Source organism: Homo sapiens, chromosome 1 (genome assembly GCF_000001405.40).
Source record: "Homo sapiens chromosome 1, GRCh38.p14 Primary Assembly".
NCBI classification, from domain to species: domain Eukaryota; kingdom Metazoa; phylum Chordata; class Mammalia; order Primates; family Hominidae; genus Homo; species Homo sapiens.
This window is the reverse complement of record NC_000001.11, coordinates 158969196-158992638: the sequence shown is the minus strand read 5'-3', so window position 1 is coordinate 158992638 and position 23443 is coordinate 158969196. Positions and strand designations below refer to the sequence as shown.

The 23443-nt window shown below is 36.8% G+C and overlaps 1 protein-coding gene across 6 annotated transcripts in view; it reads right to left on the bottom strand.

Moving 5' to 3' along the window:
* Nucleotides 1769–23443, bottom strand: part of PYHIN1 (pyrin and HIN domain family member 1) — a 59319-nt gene continuing 37644 nt past the window's right edge. For 2 of the 6 annotated variants that reach the window (NM_152501.5, NM_198928.5), the window contains exons 8-9: nucleotides 18868–18992; nucleotides 15580–15938 (exon numbers count right to left, since the gene is read on the bottom strand). In NM_152501.5, the coding sequence (NP_689714.2) occupies nucleotides 18873–18992 (120 nt within the window). In that variant the 3' untranslated portion in view covers nucleotides 15580–15938; nucleotides 18868–18872. The other 4 variants (NM_198929.5, NM_198930.4, XM_011509242.3 and 1 more) reach the window with 3 other exon arrangements.

Below are 23443 nucleotides of genomic sequence, written 5' to 3'. Positions count from 1 at the left end.
CAAGTCAAGTCCCTTCCACCTATGAGCCTATGAAATCCAAAGCAAGTTAGTTACTTCCTAGATACAATGGGGCTACAGGTATTGGGTAAATACATTCGTTCCAAATAAGAGATATTGACAAAAACAAAAGGGCCGCATGCCCCATGCAAGTCCAAAATCCAATAGAGTAGTCGTTAAACCTTAAAGTTCCAAAATGTTATACTCCATGTCTCACATCCAGGTCATGCTGAAGCAAGAGATGGGACCCCACAGCTTTGGGCAACCACCTTCGTGCATATTTATAGCTCTTTCTGTAACCTGTTGAATATGTATGTTTAGCCTGTCTATTCAGCATAAAGCTCTTACCCCAACCCCTCCTCCTTTGAAGTGCCTGTCTCTGGCCTTGGCCAGAGACAAATTGTGTATGTGTGTGTGTGTGTGTGTGGTTTAAGTTAACAAACTTGACATACACTACTGAACTCCAAAGTGAAAGGCCAGTAGAGAAAACCAGGTCAGAGGTCATTTGCGTTACTCAACTAGCACAGGTGGATGGAATATTCCTATTGCCCTAATGGAGTGAGGCAGGTCCACACATGTGTAGGCTGATAATGGAAACAGAGAATGGAGCCCTGAGGTGCTGGTCTGGGCATCACATTTGCAGCACTGCTAGCTTTTTGGTCAGCCTTTGCATTTAAAGACAAAGCTGAGAAATGTACGACTATGTAATAGACTTGTGTTTGTGTTTGTTATCCTGGTTTTTTGTTTGTTTGTTTGTTTGTTTGAGACAGTGTCTCACTCTTGTGGCCCAGGCTGGAGTGCAATGGCACCATCTTGGCTCACTGCAACCTCTGCCTTCCAGATTCAGGTGATTTTCCCTCCTCAGCCTCCTAAGTAGGTGGGATTATAGGCATCTGCCCCATGCCCGGTCAATTTTTGTATTTTTAGTAGAGATGGGGTTTCACCATGTTGGCCAGGCTGGTCTCAAACTCCTGGCCTCAAGTGATCCACCCGCCTTGGCCCCCCAAAGTGCTGGGATTACAGGCATGAACCACCATGTGTGGCCAAAGATTTCCTTTTCTTTTTTTTTTGTGAGACAGAGTCTCACTCTGTCACCCAAGCTGGAGTGCAGTGGCACCATCTCGGCTTACTGCAACCTCTGCTGTTATTCTTAAAAACTCAGAAAGGTGGAGACCACATAAGACTTGAACACAAGATCGCATAATCCTCAATGATCTTACTTGCTTTCATGGGCTTTTGGGGCACCCATTTGCCCATAAACATCCAGGCAACTCTCTCTGCCCTCTCCTGGGGAAGGAAGATGATGTCTCCCAAATGCCAAAAAAAAAAAAAAAAAAATCCCTGAACCCCCACAACAAGAAAGAAAAAATATGTATACAAAATATAATACTTTTAACCATAAAAAGGAAGGAAATCCTTTCATTTGTGATGACATGGATGAACCTGAAGGAAATTTTGTTAAGTGAAATAAGCCAGGCACAGAAAGAAAAATATCACATTATCTCATTGTATTAGTTTGTTCTCACGCTGCTATGAAGAACTTTCCAAGACTAGGTAATTCATACGAAAAAGATATAAAGAAAAGAGGTTTAATTGACTCACAGTTCCACATGGCTGGGGAGGCCTCAGGAAACCTATAATCATGGCAGAAGGGGAAGTAGTCACATCTTACATGATGGCAGGTGAGAGAGCGTGTGAAGGAGGAACTGTCAAACACTTATAAAACCATCAGATGTTATGAGAACTCAGTCATTATCATGAAAACAGCATGGGAGAAACTGGCCCCTGGTCCCACCATGTGCCTCCCTCAAAACTTGGGGGTTACAGGGATTACAATTTGAGATGAGATTTGGGTGGGGACACAGAGCCAAACTGTATCACTCATTCATATGTAGAATCTCAAAAAGTTGATCTCATAGTGGTAGAGAGTAGAGTGGTGGTAAACAAAGGGTAGGGATGTTGTAGGGGAGGGAGAAATGGGAAAATGTTGGTCAAAAGATATAATTATAGTTAGATTGGAGTAATAAATATCAAGAAATCTATTTTATAGCAAGGTGACTATAGCTAAAGATGAAATATTGTATTCCTGAAAAATATAAAGAGAGTGGATGTTATGTCTTCTCATGACAAAAATGTTGGCTGTGAGGTAATATATTTGTTAATCAGAGAGATTTAACCACCTCACAATGTATATATACTTCAAAACATCATATTGTACCTGATAAAAACATATAATGTTGTCTGTCAACTTAGAAAATTAAAAAAAAAGAAATAATAGATTATTATGGCCTCCCAAAAAGAAAGGTCACAACAGAGAACTCACCATCTCATAACACAGCTCATTCTACCCCTAGACAGTCATATTAAATTAATCTAATAACTAAATCATTCTTCTTTCTATTAAATGCAAGGTGATCACCTTGTTTCTTCAGCCTAGAACTGCTCAAGTTCTATCAGAAACAATATCTAACAATTTCTCTTATCCTCTTCTGTCTCAGCGTGCCTTAAAAAATTAAATTTGGCCATCTTGATACATGGTCATATTCACATCATGAGTGGAAGTTGACTATTCATCATGAAGCATTGATGAGAAGCCAGCATGCCATACACTCATTCACACATTTATGCATTTATCCATTCTATTGTGTTCTTAATAGCTACCAGAGAATCTTTAAGGTTCTGTAGATAAAAGAGGAAACTAAAAACAAATACAAGTTTTATGGAAATTATACTTGAACTTGGAAGGTAGTTTTTTTTTTAACAGGAAATTAATAAATGTTATAAACTGAGATAAATGCTCTGATGAAAAGGAAGATGGTCCTTTAAGAATGTATTAGTTTTAAAGGGTTGCTGTAATAATGTACCTTTGACTGGGTGGCTTGAGCAACAGAAATTTATTGTTTCATGTCTCTGGAGGAATTAAGCCTGAGATCAAGAGGTCAGCAGGGTTGACTTATTCTGAGAAAGCAACTGTTTCATGTATCTTCCCTAGCTTTTGGTGGTTTGCCAGAAATCTTTGGTGTTCTTTAGCTTATGAATGCATTATTCTGATCTTTACTTTCATCGTTACATGATGTTCCACTTGTAAATATGCCTCTGGAATTTCCCTTTTTAAAAAACAAGGACACCAGTGTTATTGAATTAGACAATAATTAGCCTAATGCTCTCAGCTTACTTCATTGCATCAGTAATGAACCTATTTCCAAATAAAGTCACATTTTTAGGTATGAGAAGTGAGGAACTGAGCACACAAACTTTGGGAGGTTACAGTTCAACCAGCAGAAGTCCGCTCTTGACCTTCACTAATTCATATCCTGATGAAATGCAAAATATAATCACCTCACCTCAACATTCCCCAATGTCTTAACTCATTCATTAAAATTAACTAAGTCCAAAATCTCAACTAAATATCAAAATAAATATGGGTGAGACTCAGGATATGATTAATTCCATGGCAAAAGTCCTCTCCATCTGTGAACCTGAAAATCTAGAAAATATGTTATCTCTTTTAAAATACTATGATCTGCCAGGCATAGCATAGAAATTTCCATTTTAAAAGGGAAGAACCAGACAGAAGAAAAGGGATACAGGTCCCAAACAAGTCCAAAAACCAGTGGAGAAAATTATATGAGATTTTAAGGCTCTTTGGATCCAGGTTCAACATCCTTTGGTACAGGCTGACAGCATGTCAGCTGAAATGGTTGATGGTGTCCACTTGTCATATACCTGAGCTCTTTAGCAAGAGGTTATCCAGCCCCAGTGGGGGTGTGTCTTGGTATTCTCTTCAGAGTCTCTCTCTCTGCAATGTGAATAGAATAAGCATTTTTCAAATGCTTGTATTCAAATTCTCATTTATTTTTCTCAAAAAATTTTCTCTTCAGTTTATCTCTCTCCTCATTTTATTTTAAACAGTAAGAAGAAATTAGGGTATTCCTTCAACATTGTGCTTAGAAGTTTCCTCAGCTAAGTATCCAAGTTCATCACTTACAGAGTCTACTTTTTATTCAACAGAACTCAATACAGCCAAGAGAGCCAAGTCCTCTCTCACTATATAATGAGGATTGCCTTTCTTCCCATTTACCTCATCTCCACCTGAGACCTAATCAGACCGTCTTTAACATTTATATTTCTAGCAACATTCTGTTGATGATGTTGATGATGACATGTTTATTCTAAAAGATCATAGAGGCTTTCTCTTTGACTCTCCTCTCTTTCTTTCTAAGTCCATACCAGAACCTCCTTTAATGTTCATGTTTACAAATAATCTCTTCAAGGCAACCTATAGTTTTTATATTACACACCTCATTCTTCCAGTTTAAACTCATTATATTATATACCTCATTCTTCCAGCTGATACCAATTTTCCAATTCCAAAGCCATCTCCACATTTTTAAGTATTTGTTACAATAATACCCCATGTCACTTTTCCAAACTATTACTTTTCTAGGGCCTCTAAAAGAAAATACCACAAACTGGGTGGCCTAAACAACAGAAGTTTATGGTTTCACAGTTCTGGAGGCTATAAGTCCAAGATCAAGCATGAGCAGATTTGATTCCTTCTGATGGCTGTGAAAGAATCTGTCCTGTGCCTACTCCGTAGGTTCTAGCGGTTTGATGAAAATCTTCAGTGTTCTTTGGCTTATAGATGCATAACCTTACTATCTGTTTTTATGTTCACACTGTATTCTCCATAGTATGTCCTTCTCTGTGTTCAAATTTTCCCTTTTTATAAGGCATAGTCATATGAAATGGAGGCCACTGTAAAGACTTTATCTGAATTAGCTTTGCCAGGAAGACACTATTTTAAAATCCACAGGTATTGCAGCTTTCTCTCTAGAAAGAAAAGACTAGTCATTTTCAAGAAATTATACTGGGACAACTAGATAGTCACATACAAATGAATAAACTGGATTCATTATTTCATATCATATGAAAAAATTAGTTCAAAATGGATCAAAACTCTTAAATGTGAGAACTGCAATTATATACATCTTAGAATAATACATAGGTGTAAATCCACATGACCTTGGATTTGGCAATAGATTCTAAGATATGATATCGAATGCACAAGCAAAAAAATATAAATTGGACTTTATTAAAATTAAAAACTTTTACGTATCAAATAACATTATCAAGAATATGAGAAGACAACCAGTGGAATAAAAGTAAATATTTGCAAATCATATATTCAATAAGGGACTTATAAGGAACTATACAACTTAATAATAAAGACCACCTAAATAAAAAATAGGCAAAGACTCTGAATAGGAAATTTCTCCAAGAAGATATACAAACAGCCAATAAGTATTTTTGAAAATGCTTGACATTATTAGTCATCAGGGAAATGCAAATCACTTTATACCCACTGGGTTGGTTATACCCACTAGGCTGACTAGAATAAAAAATTATGTAATAACAAGTGTTGATGAGGTTGTGGAGAAATTAGGACTTTTCTACACTGCTTGTGGCAATGTAAATTGTTGTAGCCACTTTGGAAGACTTTCTGACAATATCCCATCACCTCACAACTGTTAGGATGTCTAGTATCAACAAACAAACAAAAAAGATAACAGGTGTTGGTAAGGATGTTGAGAAATTGTAACCCTTATATGCTATTTATGGGAATGCACAATGGTATAATCACTAAGGAAAACATTATAGAGGTTTCTTAAAAAATTAAAAATGTGGGAAAGTGTTGCATGAAATAGGTGTAGAGTGGCCCACTCTCACCATGGACTTCCAGAATCCTAGCTGTAGGAGATCCCATAACTCCCACAGACATCTGAGCTGGCTAAAAGTGCCAAGAGAGTTGGCAGAGACAGAACTCCAGATTGCGCAGACAGAGGGTTTGGCACAGGAATGGCTGCAGTGGAGCATGGACATGGACGCCCATCCCTTAAGTCTTGCCATACTCCTCTAGGTGGCTTTAGCCTTTGTTGGCTGCAAGGGCTGGATAGAAATGAACTATCTGCTCAAAGGGTGGGGCTGGTTTGATCAGAGTGTCCCCATCTGCTGGCCTCTCTCAGAGTTTCTGCCTCGCTGCACCAACTTTCAGCATGGCCTTGGCAGCACTGACCCACAATTGCTGTCCCACCAAAGCATTTTTGCCAGCATGTCCCCACATAGATGGTTTAGACAGTAGACTGAGAACACCTCAGCCCCTTCAGTGCAGCAGGTCCTTTACCTCAAGTGGTCAGAAAAAAAGGTGTTGGCCTAGTTTCAGACCCCTAGGGGTAGAGCACACAGCCTAACAGTGCTGAGCTGATCCTTGGACCCATGAAATTATCCAGAAACAAAGCCGATCAACTAAACCCAACTTATAGCACAGCTAGACACTCAAGGACATCAAAGAATATAAAATAAAAGAGCCCCATCCAAAGAACAGCAACTGCAAAGACTAGCAAAATATTAGCCCACACAGATGGGAAAGAACCAGTGCAAGAACTCTGGCACTGTAGAAACCAGAGTGTCTTACCTCCAAACTACCATGCTACCTACCCAGCAAAGTCTAGATGGCAATGAAGATTCTTGAAATATAGGAGAAAGCAGAAACCCAATCAAAGGAATCTAAGAAATCCAATAAAATAATACAAAAGCTTAAAGATAAAATAGCCATTTTAAGAAAGAACCAAACTAACCTACTAGAGCTGAAAACTCACTACAAAAATTTCATAATATAATTGGAAGTACTAACAGCAGAAGCTGAGGAAAGCTGAGGAAAGAAATCTCAGAGCTTGAAGATCAGTTCTTCAAATCAACTCAGTCAGATAAAAATAAAGGAAAAAATAATAAAATATGAACGAAACTTCAAGAAATATGAGTTTATGTAAAGAGACCAAACCTACAACTGATTTGCATCACAGAAAGAGAGGGAGAGAGACCAAGCAACTTGGAGAACATATTTGAAGATATTGTCCCTGAAAATTTACCTGACCTTGCTAGAGAGGTTGACATGTAAATTCAGGAAATTCAGAGTACCCCAGCAAGATATTACACAAGATGACAATCCCTAAGACACATAGTTATCCAATTCTCCAAGATCAAGGTAAATAAAACATATGAAAGGCAGCAAAAGAGAAGAGGCAGATCATGTACAAAGGGAACCCTTATCACACTAACAGTGGACCTTTCAGCAGAAATTTTTCAAGCCAGAAAAGATTAAAGGCCTACATTCAGCATTCTTAAACAAAAGAAATTCTAACCATGATTTCATATCCAGCCGAACCAAGCTTTGTAAGTGAAAAAGAAACATAATCCTTTTCAGACAAACAAACACTAAGCGAATTTGTTACCATTAGGCCTGCCTTATAAGAGGTCCTTCAGGGAGTGCTGAACATGGAAACAAAAGGCTGCTACCTGCCACAAAACAACACACTTAAGTAAATATTCCACTGACACAATATGCAACTATACAATCAAGTCTACATAACAACCAGCTAATAACACTATGACAGGATCAAATCCTTACATATCAATATTAACCTTGAACATAAGCAGGCTAACCACTCCACTTAAAAGGCACAGAATGGTAAGTTGGATAAAGAAGCAAGACTCAATTACATGCTGTCTTCAAGAGACCCACCTTACATGTAAAGACACAGGCTTAAATTAAATGGATGGAGGAATATCTATAAAGCAAATGGAAAACAAACAAAATAGAGCAGGGGTTGCTCTTTTATTTCAGGAAAAAAAAAACAGACCTTAAACCAAAAGCTATCAAAGAGGATGAAGAAGGGCATCACATAATGATAAAAAGTTCAATTCTACAAACAAGACTTAACTATCCTAAAGATGTGTGCATTCAGCACTGGCACAACCAGATTCATAAAACAAGTTCTTAGAGACCTATGAAGAGAACTAGCTAACCTCACAATAATAGTGGGAGAATACAACACCCTACTAACATTGTTAGATAAATCATTGAGGGAGAAAACTAACAAAGATATTCAGGAACAAAATTTCACACTTGACTAAATTGACCTAACAGACATATAAGGAACATTCCACTCAACAACAGAATATACATTCTTCTCATCTGCACATGGCACATACTCTGTGCCACATGCTTGGCCACATGCTTGGCCATAAAGCAATGCTCAGGAAATTCAAAAAACAGAAATTATATCAACCACACTCTCAGATCACAGTGCAACAAAAATACAAATCAATACCAAGAAGATCTCTGAAAATCATAGAAGTATTTGGAAATTAAACAACTTACTCCTGAATGACTTTTGGGTAATAAATTAAATTAATGCAGAAATCAAGAAATCTTTGAAACTAATGAAAACAAAAATACAATATATCAGAGTCTCTGGGACACAGCTAAAGCAGTGTTAAGAGAAAAGTTTATAGCACTAAAGGCCTACATCAAAAAGTCAGAAATATCTTAAATTTATACCTAACATCACATTTACAGGAACTAGAAAAAACAAAAGGAAACCAACCCCCAAACTAGCAGAAGAAAAATAATAATCAAAATCTAAGTTGAACCAAATAAAATTGAGATGTGAAAATTCACAAAAATAATTAAGAAAACTAAAAATTGGTTTTTTGAAAGAATAAGATATATAGACCACTAGCCAGATTAATATACAAAAAAAAAAAAAAAAACAGGAGAAGATCCAAATAAATACAATTAGAAATGACAAAGGGGACATTACCATGGAACCCACAGAAATACAAAAACTCTCAAAGACCATTATGAACAATTTCTATGCTGAAAAACTAGAAAATCTAGAAGAAACAGATAAATTCCTGAAAACATACAACCTGCCAAGATTGAACCAGGAAGACATTGAATACCTAAACAGATCAATAACAAGTTCTGAAATTGAATCCATAATAAAATACCTACAAACCAACAAAAGCCATGGATCAGACAGATTCACATCTGAATTCTACCTGATAGATAAGGAGGAGCTGATACCAATCCTACCAAAATTATTCCAAAATATTGAGGAGCGGAGACTCTGCCCTGAATCATTCTATGAGGTCAGCATTATTCTGATACCAAAACCTGACAGAAACACAAAGGAAAAACAAATTCAGGACAATATGCCTGATAAATATTGATGCAAAAGTCCTCAAAAAAAAATACTAGCAAACTAAATCCAGCAGCACAGCAAAAGCTAAGCCACCATGATCAAGTAAGCTTTACCCCTGGAATGCAAAGTTGGTTCAACATACGCAAATTGGTAAATGTGATTTATCACATAAACAGAACTAAAAACAAAAATCACGTGATTATCTAAATAGATGCAGAAAAGGTTTCAATAAATTCAACATTCTTTCATGTTAAAAACCCTCAACAAACTAGGTATCAAAGGAACATACCTCAAAATGAGACATCTATGACAAAACCACAGCCAACATCATATCACAAATAGGCAAAAGCTGAAATCATACCTCTTGAGAACCAGAACAAGACAAAGTTGCCTACTCTCACTACTCCTGGTTCAACATAGCACTGGAAGTTCTAGCCAGAGCAGTCAGGCAAGAGAAAAAAAAATAAAAGACGTCCAAATAGAAAGAAAGGAAGTCAAACTACCTCCTTTTGCAGGTAATATGATTCTATACCCAGAAAACCCCATAGCCTTTGCCCCAAATTTCCCAGAAATTATAAACAACTTCAGCAAAGTCTCAGGATACAAAATCAATGTACAAAAATTAGTAGCATTTCTATACAACTAATAATACCCAAGCTGAAAGCCAAACCAAGAACATAGTTCCTTTCACAATAGCCACACAAAGAATAAACACATAGGAATACAGCTAACCTGGGAGGTAAAAGATTTCTACAACAAGAGTTACAAAATGCTGCTAAAAGAAATTAGAGATGATACAAACAAATGGAAAGACATTTCATTCTCATGGATAGGAAGAATCAATATTGTTAAAATGGCTATATTCTCCAGAGCAATTTACAGATTCAATGTTATTCTGATCAAACTACCAATGTCATTTTTCACAGAATTAGAAAAACTATTCTAAAATTTATATGGAACCCAAAAAAGATCCCAAATAACCAAAATAATCCTATGCAGAAACCACAAAGCTGGAGGCATCACACTATCCAAATTCAAACTATACTACAAAGTTACAGTCACCAAAGTAGCATGGTGCTAGAACAAAACAGATACATAGACCAATGGAACAGGTTAGAGAACCCAGAAATAAAGCTGCACACCTACAACCATTGGATCTTCAACAAAGTTGACAATAACAAGTAATGGAAACAGTACTTCCTATTCAACAAGCAGTGTCAGGATAACTGGCTGGTTATATACAGAAAATTAAAACTGGAACCCTTCCTTTCACCATATAAAAAATCTACTCAATATAAAGTTAAAAAAAACTTATATATGTAAAACCTAAAACTGTAAATGCCCTAGAAGAAATCTAGGAAATACTATTCTGGACATTAGCCTTGGCAAAGACTTCATGACAAAGACTCCAAAAGCAAATGTAGCAACAACAACAAAAATTGACAAGTGAGATCTAATTAAAGATCTTCTGTACAGCAAATTAGACTATCAACAGAATAAAAAGATAGTCTACAGAATGGGAGAAAGTATTTGCAAACTATGATTTCTGAGAAAGGTCTAATATCTAGACTCTATAAGGAACTTAAATCAACAAGCAAAAACCAAACAGTTTCATTAAAAATGGTTAAAAGCCATGAATAGATCTTTCTCAAAAGAGGATCCATGCAACTAACAAGCATGTGAAAAATGCTCAATATCACTAATCATTAGAGAAATGCAAATCAAAACTACAGGGAGATACCAGCTCACACCAGTCAGAATAGCTGCTATTAAAAAGTCAAAAAATAACTGATGCTGGTGAGGTTGTAGAGAAAAGGGAACATTTATACATTGAGGGTGGAAATGCCAATTATATGCCATATTTTTTTATATGGTGAAAGGAAGAGGTCCAGTTTTAATTTTCTTCATACAGCTAGCCAGTGATCCTGATGCTATTTGCTGAATACTTCAGCGACTGTTGAAAACAGTTTGGAGATTTCTCAAATAACTTAAAACAGAACTAACATTTGACCCAGCAATCCCATTACTGGTATATACCCAAAGGAATATAAATTGTTCTACTAAAAGATACGTGCTTGTATATGGTTTCTTTGTTTGTTTGTTTATTTATTTCTTTATCTTTTGATTCAGAGTCTCGCTCTTGTCCCCCAGGCTGGAGTGCAATGGCACAATCTTGGCTTACTGCAACCACTGCCTCCCAGGTTCAAGCGATTCTCCTGCCCCAGGCTCCCAAGTAGCTGAGACTACAGGTGCCTGCCACCACAAAAGGCTAAGTTTTTGTATTTTTAGTAGAGACAGGGTTTCACCATGTTGGCCAGGCTGGTCTCGAACTCCTGACCTCAGATGATCCACCCACCTCAGCCTCCCAAAGTACATGTGTATGCTTATTGCACTTTTCATAATAGTAATGACATGGAATCAATCTAGATGGCCATTAACAGTGGTTTAGATAAAGCAAATGTGGTACGTATACAACATGGTACACTACGGAGCCATAAAAATACAAAATCATTACTGGGGGAACCTGACTCCAATATTTCAATGTAGGTTCTTTCTATTTTCCACAAGTGTCAGCCAGCTGAGAAATAAAGACAGTACAAAGAGGAATTTTACAGCTGGGCCACGAGGGGTGACTTCATGTATCGGTAGGACCATGATGCCCGCCTGAGTCTCAGACCAGCAAGTTTTTGTTAAGGGTTTCAAAAGGGAGGGGGTGTAAGAACAGGGAGTAGGTACAAAGATAACATGCTTTAAAGGGCAAAAAGCAGAACCACTAGTAAAGGTCTAACAAAGATCACATACTTCTGAGGGAACGGGACAAAGGGTAAAAGCAGAACCACTGATAAGCGTCTATGTTCAGCGGTGCATGTATTGTCTTGATAAACATCTTAAACAACAGAACACAGGGTTCGAGAGCAGAGAACCGGTCTGACCACAAATTTACCAGGGCAGAGTTTCCCCAACCCTAGTAAGCCTGAGGGTTCTGCAGGAGACCAGGGTGTATCTCAGTCCTTATCTCAACTGCACAAGTCAGACATTCCCAGAGCAGCCATTTATAGATCTCTCCCCAGGAACGCATTCCATTCCCAGGGTATTAATATTAACATTCCTTGCTAGGAAAAGAATTTAGCAATATCTTTCCTACTTGCACATCCATTTATAGGCTGTCTGCAAGAAGAAAAATACGGCTCGTTTTGCCCAAACCCGCAGGCAGTCAGAGCTTACGGTTGTCTTCCCTAAAAATCGCTACTATTCTGTTCTTTTTCAAGATGCACTGATTTCATATTTTTCAAACTCACATGTTTTACAATCAATCTGTACAGTTAACAATTATCACAGTGGTCCTGAGATAAGATACATCCTCAGCTTATGAAGATAACAGGATTAAAAGATTTAAGTAAGGACAAGCATAAGAAATTATAAAAGTATTATTTGGGAACTGATAAATGTCCACAAAATCTTCACAATTTATGTTCCTCTGCTGTGGCTCCAGCCAGTCCCTCCATTTGGGGTCCCTGACTTCCTGCAACAAATCATGTCCTTTGCAGGAACATAGATGCAGCTGCAAGGCATTATCTGAAGCAAAATAACACAGGAACAGAAAACCAAATACCACTTGTTCTTACTAATAAGTAGGAGCTAAACATTGAGTACACAAGGACACAAAAAGAAGCACAATAGACACTGGTGGTTTACTTAAAGGTCGAGGGTGGGAGGAGGGTGAAGACTGAAAAACTACCTATCAGGTACTGTGCTTACTACCTAGGTGACAAAATCATTTGTATGCCAATCCCAGCAACATGTAATGTATTGATGTAACAAACCTGCACATGTAGCCCCTAAATCTAAAATAAAAGTTGGAAGAAAAAAATATGAATACCATATGACCCAAGATTTATTCTTCTTGGTATTTATGCAAAATAATTAAAATAGGAGTTGAAGAGATATTACTAGCGCTCCCATGTACATTACAGTATTATTCAAAATAGACAAGATGTGAAAACTACCTAAATGTCCCAGTTTTGAATGAATAGATAAGAAAATGTGGTGTGTATATATAATGGAATGTTATTCTTTCTTAATGAAGGAAATTCTGCAATAGTTACAGCATGAATGAAATTCTGCAATAGTTACAGCATGAATAAAACTTGAGGGCATTATGCTAAGTGTAATAAGCCACTCATAAGAGAATAAATACTGCATGAGTCCACTTATGTAGAGTATCTATAATAGCCAAACTTACAGGAGCAGAAAATAAAATGGTGGTTAGCTGGGGCTGGAGGAAGGGGGAAATGGAAGCTGCTATTCGATGGGTATACAACTTCAGATATGCCAGATGAATAAGCTCTGTAGATCTGCTGCACAACACTGTGCTTATAGTTCCTAATACTGTATTGTAAACTTGAAATTTGTTAAGTGGTTGATCTCACGTGCTCTTATCATCATAAAATTCTAATACATGCCTCACTATGTGGTTTTAGAGAAATAATGTTGCTAACAGTGTTGGATTTGCCTCTTCCAATCATAATCATTTGCTAATACACTAGAGATCCTCTCAGAGCTATTTCACTGCCTCTTGCAGAGAACCACTTGGTACAAACTGATCTCTAAGATGTCTATGAGGGTAGGTTAGATCTCTGTGAGCTGTTCTGTCTTTCTCTTTGGTTCACACATTTCAAAGTTAGGGGAAGCCCCAGATTCTCACCTACTTGTGGTCCCAAGTAGGAGCTCTGATGTGTAGTAAGATATAAAAATATAAGATAGAGTGGGGTCAAGGCATTAGAGGTTGACGCTGTTTAAATTAAAACACAGTGAACAGGCTAATTCTTTCGGGTGGAAGATAATTTCTTTCCTATCTCATTTACAGACATGACTGTCCTTAGAAGTTAAAATTTCAGGGAGAAATCAGCAAACACATTAGACAAAGCACCTAAATGACCCATTCTCTAACTGTTAATTACCATCATCTACATACTCAAGAGTGGTCCATTATACCTAGTTTATGTAAAGTAATATGAATATTATGTATTTGAGTAGCTCAGAATACCAATATCATTTGCATATAAAGCAGTTATTTTCTCAGTGTCCATAAGTCAAATTTGAATTTGGAGGATGTTTTAGCAGTTTGTGACATCTTCTCAAGATGAAATCTGTTTCCTAACTAGCTGAATGATGTGATTTTGACCACTTCACTCAATCTCTGAATTTCAGTTTTTTCACTGCACATGAGGAAAAAATTCGGTGGCTTCAAAACATCCTTCAAAATTTGATTTTCCCAAGTGAACCAAATTATCATATATATATATATATATATATATATGTATAGACACACACACACATATGAATATTAGCAATGATATTTGGCAATAAAGAATGTCTGAAAAAACTTATTCATGGTATCTGAATCTATCATACTTTCTTACCTTTATGTCTGATAAAAGACATAATCGGAAAGGTGCAGGGCAAGAGGAAAAAAAAACTACATTTATTCCTTGGATTGTTGGTCCAAACCATAAAGGCAGAACTTTAATGCCTCTTTTCCTTAGATTAATTGGGCATATATAGCTTCAGATCACCACAGTTCTCTGATGAGTACAGAAGATTGCTATTTTGCATTTATCTACTTTTTCATAATTTTAAGGGTGAGAGTGAGGCTCTTTTCAGCTTTCTCCATCTTAGGTGGAATCCGTCTTATTCATTGTTTAATTTGCATCTTATCCCTGTTCTCCTAACATTAGCACACCTAACCCAAGCCAGAACAACAGACCTGGATGTTAAATCAAGGACTATATAAGACCACCTAAGTGTCACTTCGAAAGTAAATTTGCTTTCTGTGCCCTTTTTTCTTTATATATGGAGAGTAAAAAGGAGAAAACTGTCAACCTTCTAGAGCTACGGTGAAGATTAAATGACACAAAATAATTACACCAGGTGCCAAATATATGATCCATAAATACATTGTAAGTTTTAGATACTGACTTTCTGCCATTCTACTCTAAAATAAATTAATTATTCTTCAGTTTGCCTAAGTTAACTGTCTGCCTGGGCAACTTTCTGATGGATTCATATAGTGGAATGTGAGAAGAGGGAATATGGTGGGAGAGCTCCTGAGGAGCTGTTGGTGCTGAAGGAAATGTATAGAACCAGATAATTTACATCAAACAGGGCCAGGAATTCCTCTAACATAGGCAAGTGCCTTCATGCACATCACCAGAAAGTGCCTGGTTTGGCAAGAAAATTACCCAATTATTCCCCCTCCAGGAGTCCAATTCTGAAAAGATATCTCTAGTTTTGGCTAGAGCAACTCCTTCCCAGGACACAGTGCTTGCAACAGAATCACAGGCTGGATTTCACCCCTACCTGCCCCTTGGTCTGGATTCTTTGGGCAGGGCACAGTCAGTTCAGTCTTAACCAGGGCCTATTCCTTAAAGATCCCATCCAAACTATAAATCTGTGTGCCCCACCCTGACTTGCAGGCCACAGTTTATTTGCTTTTACATAACTCACAGATAGATTAAAGAAACTCCTATGGAAGCACTCTTTAAGAAAAAAAAGTTTATTTTTTTTCAAATTATGAAAATTCTGAATGCAAAATATGATATGAAGAAAATGCATAAAAGTAAAACTAATGAAATAAAATGCACCCTTAATACTCCATTTCCTAGAATTAATAGCTGGTATATATATATATATATATATATATATATATATATATATATATATATAGTATTTCAACCAGATATATATACATATATTATTTTCTGTGCTTTGATCTTATCTTCATAAACATCATTACCAATGGCATCAGGTTTTTAGGTGGAGGACTTCAGGCAAAATTTCCACACTTGAGTAAAGATTGAACAGTAGTTATTTGATATCCTTGTCCTTGGTGACCTTGAAGCATAAAGAGATAAAAATAAACCCGTTGAGATGCAGGGAGTCATACATTTCTTTCTTCAATCACACTGCCTCTCCTCCCTGTGAGCCACATCTCTTCTTCTATTTCCATCTGAAGCACTCTTTTCTCATTCTCATCTATCTCCTTTAATGAATCCTGTCCTTGGAGTCACATCTTCCCCCTCTGTTGGGACCATGAAATGCGATATTCACTCCTACCCAGCATGAGCCCACGTGAAAGGGCAGGAGATGTCAGGGAACAATAAGATAGAGAAAGGAGCTGGTGTGTCCAACGACAAGGGCTAAAGGGAAACTTCTCATTGGGCAGAAAGGTAGGAGGAGCGTACAAAATGTATTCCTGGTGCAACTGCTGTCAAGGAAGGCTTGGGACTTTTGACTAATGGCCCTGAGAACTGGAGCAATCAGAAAGCCTTTGCATTTTTGTGTGTCTGAATGTGTTAGCCTTTATTCTGATCTTTTTGCATTCCAATATTAGCCTTTATTTGTTCCAAGAATCCCACATGAATATATGTGACAAACAGCATAAACTTTGTCATGTAGATCCAACCATCTCTGTCTACACAGAGATGTTTCTCACAAAAGACAGCTACCTTTGTGTTCTGATTTGCTTAGGGACATCCTTGGTAATTTAGGACTGTTATGAGGTATGTTGGCCACCCTCAAATTTAACTCCCTCTTCTGTTCATTGTGTACCACAAATAATTGAATGAGCTAATATGTGAAACAATTGGATTATAAAGGATTAATGAAGATAATTATTGAAAAACCCTTAGAATAGTCTGAGTCATTCTGCATACTCAGTAAATGAGAGACATCATTATTTCCATTCTATTAGGTACTTTTAGTCACATCCACTGTTTTAACAACTATGTCTCTATTGATGTAATTCAGTAAAAGGCCCAGCCAAAATTACCCAAGTTTAAGCTCTATATATCAGATGGATAATTCTTAGATGTCCTGTGGGAATCTCAAACTTAACTTGTCTAGAGCAGAACACGTTTTTTCCCTGGAACATGGTCTTTCTACTGTGCTCATAAGAGGTGTATTGAAGAGTAAATGCAATCATATACATAAAAACATAACTTTCACTTCCAGCTTTACCCAGTAGAAGCTCAGTTAGAAAAATATTGTTTTCATTGTTATTTAAAGACTATGCAAGTTTTTTATGTCAGCCTGATCCAGAAATGAATTATGATTTATGTTGATCCTCTTGTGGAAAACCCAGATAAAGTTGTAGTGATTGGGAATAAAACTAATAGCTTCGTTTTTTCCCATATAGTAATTCTGAGCCAGTAATATCTCCATTTGTTTTCCCAACCATTCTGGGCTCTTTGATTTAGGAGAGTCATGACAAAAGATGAAAAATAAGAATGGTCTGCTTTTGACTTTAAATCCAAAAGCATAGAAAAATTTATACAAATTAATAATTAATACAAACACAGTATTATTGGGATGATCTATGATATACAAAAGCAAGGACTTCTTTCAGAGCTAGTGAATCACAGAGGAAGTAACAGGATGTATTTTCCAGGCATCCTGTGGAAGTGCTAGATATCAAAGAAGAAATGGCTATATGGGAGGTTAGGTGTAGGAGACATAGGACCCTAGCTGAGATTCCTGGGCTAAGGGAGGTTTAGATGCAGTCAAATAAATCTAACGGCTATAGAAACAGACCATAATGCGTATTTAAAATGGTAGAACCTAGGCAAACTTTGCGTAGTCCCTTCAAAGCCAAAATGCAGGAAAAATAAGTTCTTTTCCAGAATGTTGTCCTGGGATGTTCAATTATGTCTATTAAGTAACAGAAAAGTGGGTCTGAGCTGGTAATGACTACATATGCGTTCCATCCATGGTCACCTAAGCCAAGATGGCTAAAGAGGACGTGCTAGCTTTGACTCTCAAATAAATTACATATAATTTATTGAGGAAAATGTGATTCTCGGGCTTATCAAAAACAACAAAAACATAAACAAACCAAAAAACGACCACAAATTGAGAACTCCTGTATATAGGTAATCTGTCTTCAACTAGTCTGTATGGTGACATGTCTTCAACTAAAAGAGTGGTGACATGATTCTCCTCTTGCCTTTCTCTTTCATCACCTTCCCTCTCACTGTAGATCATAGTCTTCTGTTCCCTAGGTGGAGGTGACTCCACTGGTCATATCATGACCAAAAGCAGGCTGGGATTCAATTGGAACACTTAGATATAAATTCATTAGTTCACCTTTGTCTGATGTTCTCTGGACAAGAAATCTATAAACTGTACTTATTATCAAGTGTGGTTGAAAAACACTTTATTATTAGAATTTTAATAAATGTTCTAAATAAAATAAAGAGAAATGTTCAGGACACCTTGGCATGATGTGTTCTATGGCAGGAGGAGAATATCAGTGCAGTATTTTTCTGAGGAAGGGGGATTTTGGTTGGCCCAGAAATATATTGGGGCAAATGAAGAGATGAGAGTAAGGGATTCTAAAAAAAGGAAGTAGCATATGCCAAGACACTAGCTATGGAAAGAAACAGGGATTTTGAATATCAATCCTAAGTTATGGTCATTAGTCGTAGTGGAAAATTGTGAAAGGAAACTGGAATAGAAGGTACGAACATACTGTTGTATTCATCTCTCCTTGTCTGGATACCTCCTCACATACACCATATTTGCACCAATGAAAAACAGTAATCTTCCTGAAGACAGAAATGATTTCATGAATGCATATTTTGTGAGTATTGAAGGACTTAGAATCCAGTGGCATGTCCAATTATATATTGATAAATGAATGAGAAATGTAGTAAAATAATGAAATAATATATAGTCAGAATTTAAATGAGAATCCCTTTGAAGACTCTGATTACCCCTACAATTATATTTTAGAGGTACAGCAATGCAAATAGAAAGGTGGTACCTTATTTAAGGAACTGCTGGATGGCGGTTGGTGGAAGTGTCAGAAGAAAGAGGAGGGGCCACAGTTGGTGAGGTGATTCTAAAGTTTGCAGGCGATGACTGTGCTCCTGGGTGGGTTTCATCCTTCTGGAGTCATAAATTTGGGTAATTTAGTCTTTCACTTTATGACAGAAAGAACTGGTTTTTTCTGCTTAATATTTTCCTATATAAGTTGGATGTAATACATGTGTGTATATGTGTGTGTGTGTGTGTGTGTGTGTGTGTGTGAAAATCCCTTTTTATAGAATCTTCCCTCTGCTAATCTCTCTGGATGCTGGCATACATTTAGTTTTCTTAACCCACATTTCAGCATACACAGAAACTAGCATATAGTATAAGAGAAAATGGATCTGAGCTGGAAATGATTAGGCATGGGGTCTATTTGAGGCCACTTCTGCCAAGATGACTGCCTGCTTACTGATCCACCAGATAAAATCTGTAGACACTCTTCAGGAAAATATGAACTTTGGGTAACAATAACAAAATAATAAAGAAAAATCCAGTCACATATAGCAAACTCCTGTAAAGAATAAGTCTGTCTTCAACTCATAGGTGTGGGGGAGTCACTGAGGCTGTAGGCTGGGTCAGTGTGGATCTTGGGGCCTGGGTGAAAAACTAGATGAGAGAATAAAGACTTAATACTCCCCTTTTCTTTCTCTAAGTTGACTTCTTGTTCACTGCTGATAGAGGGTGCTGTGGCACAGAGGCAGGTGACTACACAGTCCAACTTACTGGTAAGTAAAAGGCAGCATGGAATAGGATTTCATACACACAGATATAAACTCATTCATGGACCTTTGTTTTTACTTACCTGAGCAGGTAGCATATATAATCTCAATTACTTACAGGGTTGAAAATATACTATAATTACTGTGGTGACAAGTATTATAAAGGAAATAAATGGACATGTGAAGGACACAAAGAGATGATCTGTCTTATTTTTGGATGGGGTTATCAGGAGGTCTTGCTTGAAGACAGTTTTAGGCTGGCCCAAAAATATATAAAGGCCAGTGAAGGAATAGGAGAAAAAGATTCCAGACAAAGGGAGTACCATGTATGAAACAAAAACATGTAGGAAAGAGTAAGAATGTTGAAAATAAACTGTGAGTTATGGTTCTGAAGCAAAAGGGAAATCTGTGAATGAACAATGAAATGTAAGAGAGGAACACACTCTTGTATTTCTTCATCTTTGTGTACTCTCCTCCACTCTTTCTCTATATCTGGATCATAAATCACAATAATGTCTTTAGGTCAGGAATGATTTTATCAATGTATCCCTTGTAAATCATAAAAATCCTAGAATCTAGTAGCATCTCTGATTATATACTTAATAAATGAATGAGAAATATAGTAAAATAAAAAACTATTTAGTCAGAGATTGATTGAAAAGCTCTGTCAAGATACTGATTATCCCTTTAAGTATAATAAAGGGAGGCACAAAGAATGGCAACAAGAAGTTGGTACTTTGGTTAAAGAACTACCAGATGGGGTTTGTGACATTTTCTGTGACATCTGAGGATGGTTCAGAGTTGGAGGTTCTCCGATGACTGAATTTTACCTATGCAGACTATACACTTTGAAAGGATACTATCTTATTGGAGTCATATGTTTGGGTGATTCTGGCATCTGTGTTCTGAAGAAAAGATCGACTTTTCTGATTAATGGTTTCACTATGAGATGAAGCCTGATTATGTATCTGCCTCTATATCTATACGTATCTATATCATCATCTATCTGGTTTGATTTTTTAATTTATTTTTTTCTTTTATTCTTTTTACATTGTCTTCCTTCTTGCATTTTCTCTGGCTAGCAGCATAACTTTAGATATCCTAACCTCTTCACCTGCACATTCACAAATGGCATTTTGGCCTTCGTTTTATTGACTGAAATTCTGTAGGTGTGTGATTGGGTCCTGGCTCTGTTTCTGGTGAAAACTCATCTAGGCTAACTTGGTCAAGCACCTCTGCTGGAGTTATTTTTGTTAAGTAATGCTCCTAAGTTATAAGGGTAGTAAGTTTCAGAACAATGTTAGCCAAATGGATGAAAGCCATTTTCATCAAGCAAATACACAAAGGATTCCTGTAGTTTGCACTTCAGGACCCAGAAAAATCAGTTGTCAGTTGTTTGGGGATACTGATCTTCATTTTGCTATCAGCACTCTCTGAAAGCACAGTTCCAGTCAGGATTCTGTTTATCCAGTGATTTGCATCAGGTATCCAAAATCCTTCAGGATTCCCAACAGCAATCACAACCGTTTCAGATTTCACTAGGGCATTCCCAGAACATGTCTTTATATATATATATATATCTTGTTAATGTAAGGATAATGGGTGTCTGGAAAATCACATGTGATTCTCTCTAAGCACTAAGGAAAGCACTTAAGGACGTTCTACTTCCAATATCAAATCACTCTCTTTACTAAGGAAAATAATTAAGGACATTCTACTTCCAATATCAAATCACTCTCATTCATTTCTATTTGTAGATTTCCATAATATTTTTCTTTTGTCCTTAAGGAGATGGAAGGAAAGTGCTGAAAGATCAGTTTGCTTATGAGGGTTTCCAAGTGAGGACAACAAACCCTAGCCATCTTGTGCACCTCATCCTGTTTTAGAAGCTTGAAGAGTCTGGATTATAAAAACAAATGTAAAATTCAACACTATTTGAAATGCTTATTGATATATTACAGATATTTTAATATCTACTCTCTCTCACTGGAAGAAACATACTCCCTCAACTACAAAAACTTTTTAGTTGACTAAGTTGAATATGAATCTTTCAACTAATACTAATTATCTTTATTAGCTTGGGAGAGATTTCTAACTTCTCTGAACCTCATGATTCTCATATGTGAAATGAGATATAGGTTGTATCTTCATGGATATGCAATAAAGAATATATGCTATACATTTTATAATAAACACAGCTTTACTTCAGAATCCAGTAAATGCTCAATAAGAAGAAATATCATTATTATTTTCATTGTTATAGTATATGCAGTGTTTGTGTGTTTGCTCTATTCACAGATATTTTATGCTTTATGTTGACCCAGTTGTAGAAAATCTCATTGAGGAGGTATGGGTAAAATATTAAATAAGCTAGTCTCTATTCCCTTCTACCAAAGCTAGTAGTCTAATCTCATTGATAAAAGTGAATTGAACAAGTATCTCTTCAAAATAAGTCAAAACTGATAAGATCAGATATTACAGTTATCTTAGTGGAAAGGCCAAGAAGTGATATTGGACGTAGAGGGGATGTGATAATAGACATTGGAGACTCAGAAAGGTGGAAGTGTGGGAGTAGGGTGAGGGATGAGAGATTATCTAATGGGTACAACATACACTATTCAGGTGATGGATACACTAAAAGTCCCAACTTCACCACTGCGCAATTTAACCATGTAACAAATCTGCACTTGTACCCCCTAAATCATTAACAAATATACATAATAAAATATAAACAAAAACATTTTCATTACAGAAGCAGAATTTGGATGCCTAAGATCTTAGCTTTGGTTGAATATTAATTTAAATCATTGCTGATTATTTTCCTCATAGTAATTTCTCCCTAATAGCATCCCTGATCATGACTCATGCCATTCTGTGATCTATGCTTTAGATGAGTCATGACAGATGGTCATGCTTCTGTCTTCTTCGGGGTTTAGATCCCAAAGCATAATGAACCTATATCATACACAAATTTTTGAGTGAACCCTTGATGAGTAAATGGGCAAGGCTTTCCTGCTCACCTGGTGAATCATAGATTGAGTGGTGAGACAACCTTGGAGTGGGTCACCAAAGCAGAAAAGGTCCATGATACATTTAGGTGTAGGTGGCCATGGAGATACATGCCTCTTTCTAAAATTATTGTATTAAGGGAGTTTATGTACAGCAGAATAATTCCTATGAATGTAGAAATGGCTGTATTACATATTTAGACAAAAGAACTTAGAAACTGTCACTCCATTTTGTCTAAGCCATTATGCGTCAGAAAATGGATTGTCTTTAAATGTTTGTCTTTGAAGTAGCAGAGAGTAAATGGATCAGAGCTGATAATGACCAGGAATGGGCTCCATCTAACCACCTGAAGTAAGATGGCAAATAGGTTAGATTGATAGCACTATCCACAAATAGTAATTTTAGAAAGTGTACAGAGAAATATGAATTATTGGAATTCACCAGTCAAAAAGAACAAAAGCAGCAACAAAACAAAATGTAAAAATGAGAACTCCTTACATAGGAGTCCTGTCTTCAACTGGTACACATGTATTAGTGATGCAGAAAGAAGGTTGGTCAGAGTGCAATATGGTAATGGGTAAGATACTAGATTGGAAGATAGTGACTCAGTTTTCCTTTTACCTTAGCTTCAAGTTGCCTGCCCATTTACTGAAGATATAGGCATCTGATTCATAGGCCTTAACATGGCAGTGAAAGAGAAAGAACGAAATAGTGAGTCACAGTTACCTAATTTCTCATGCGAAGCCTTGCAGAACCTGAATTATGGAAACAAACTCAAACCATAACGATGTCTGACTTTAA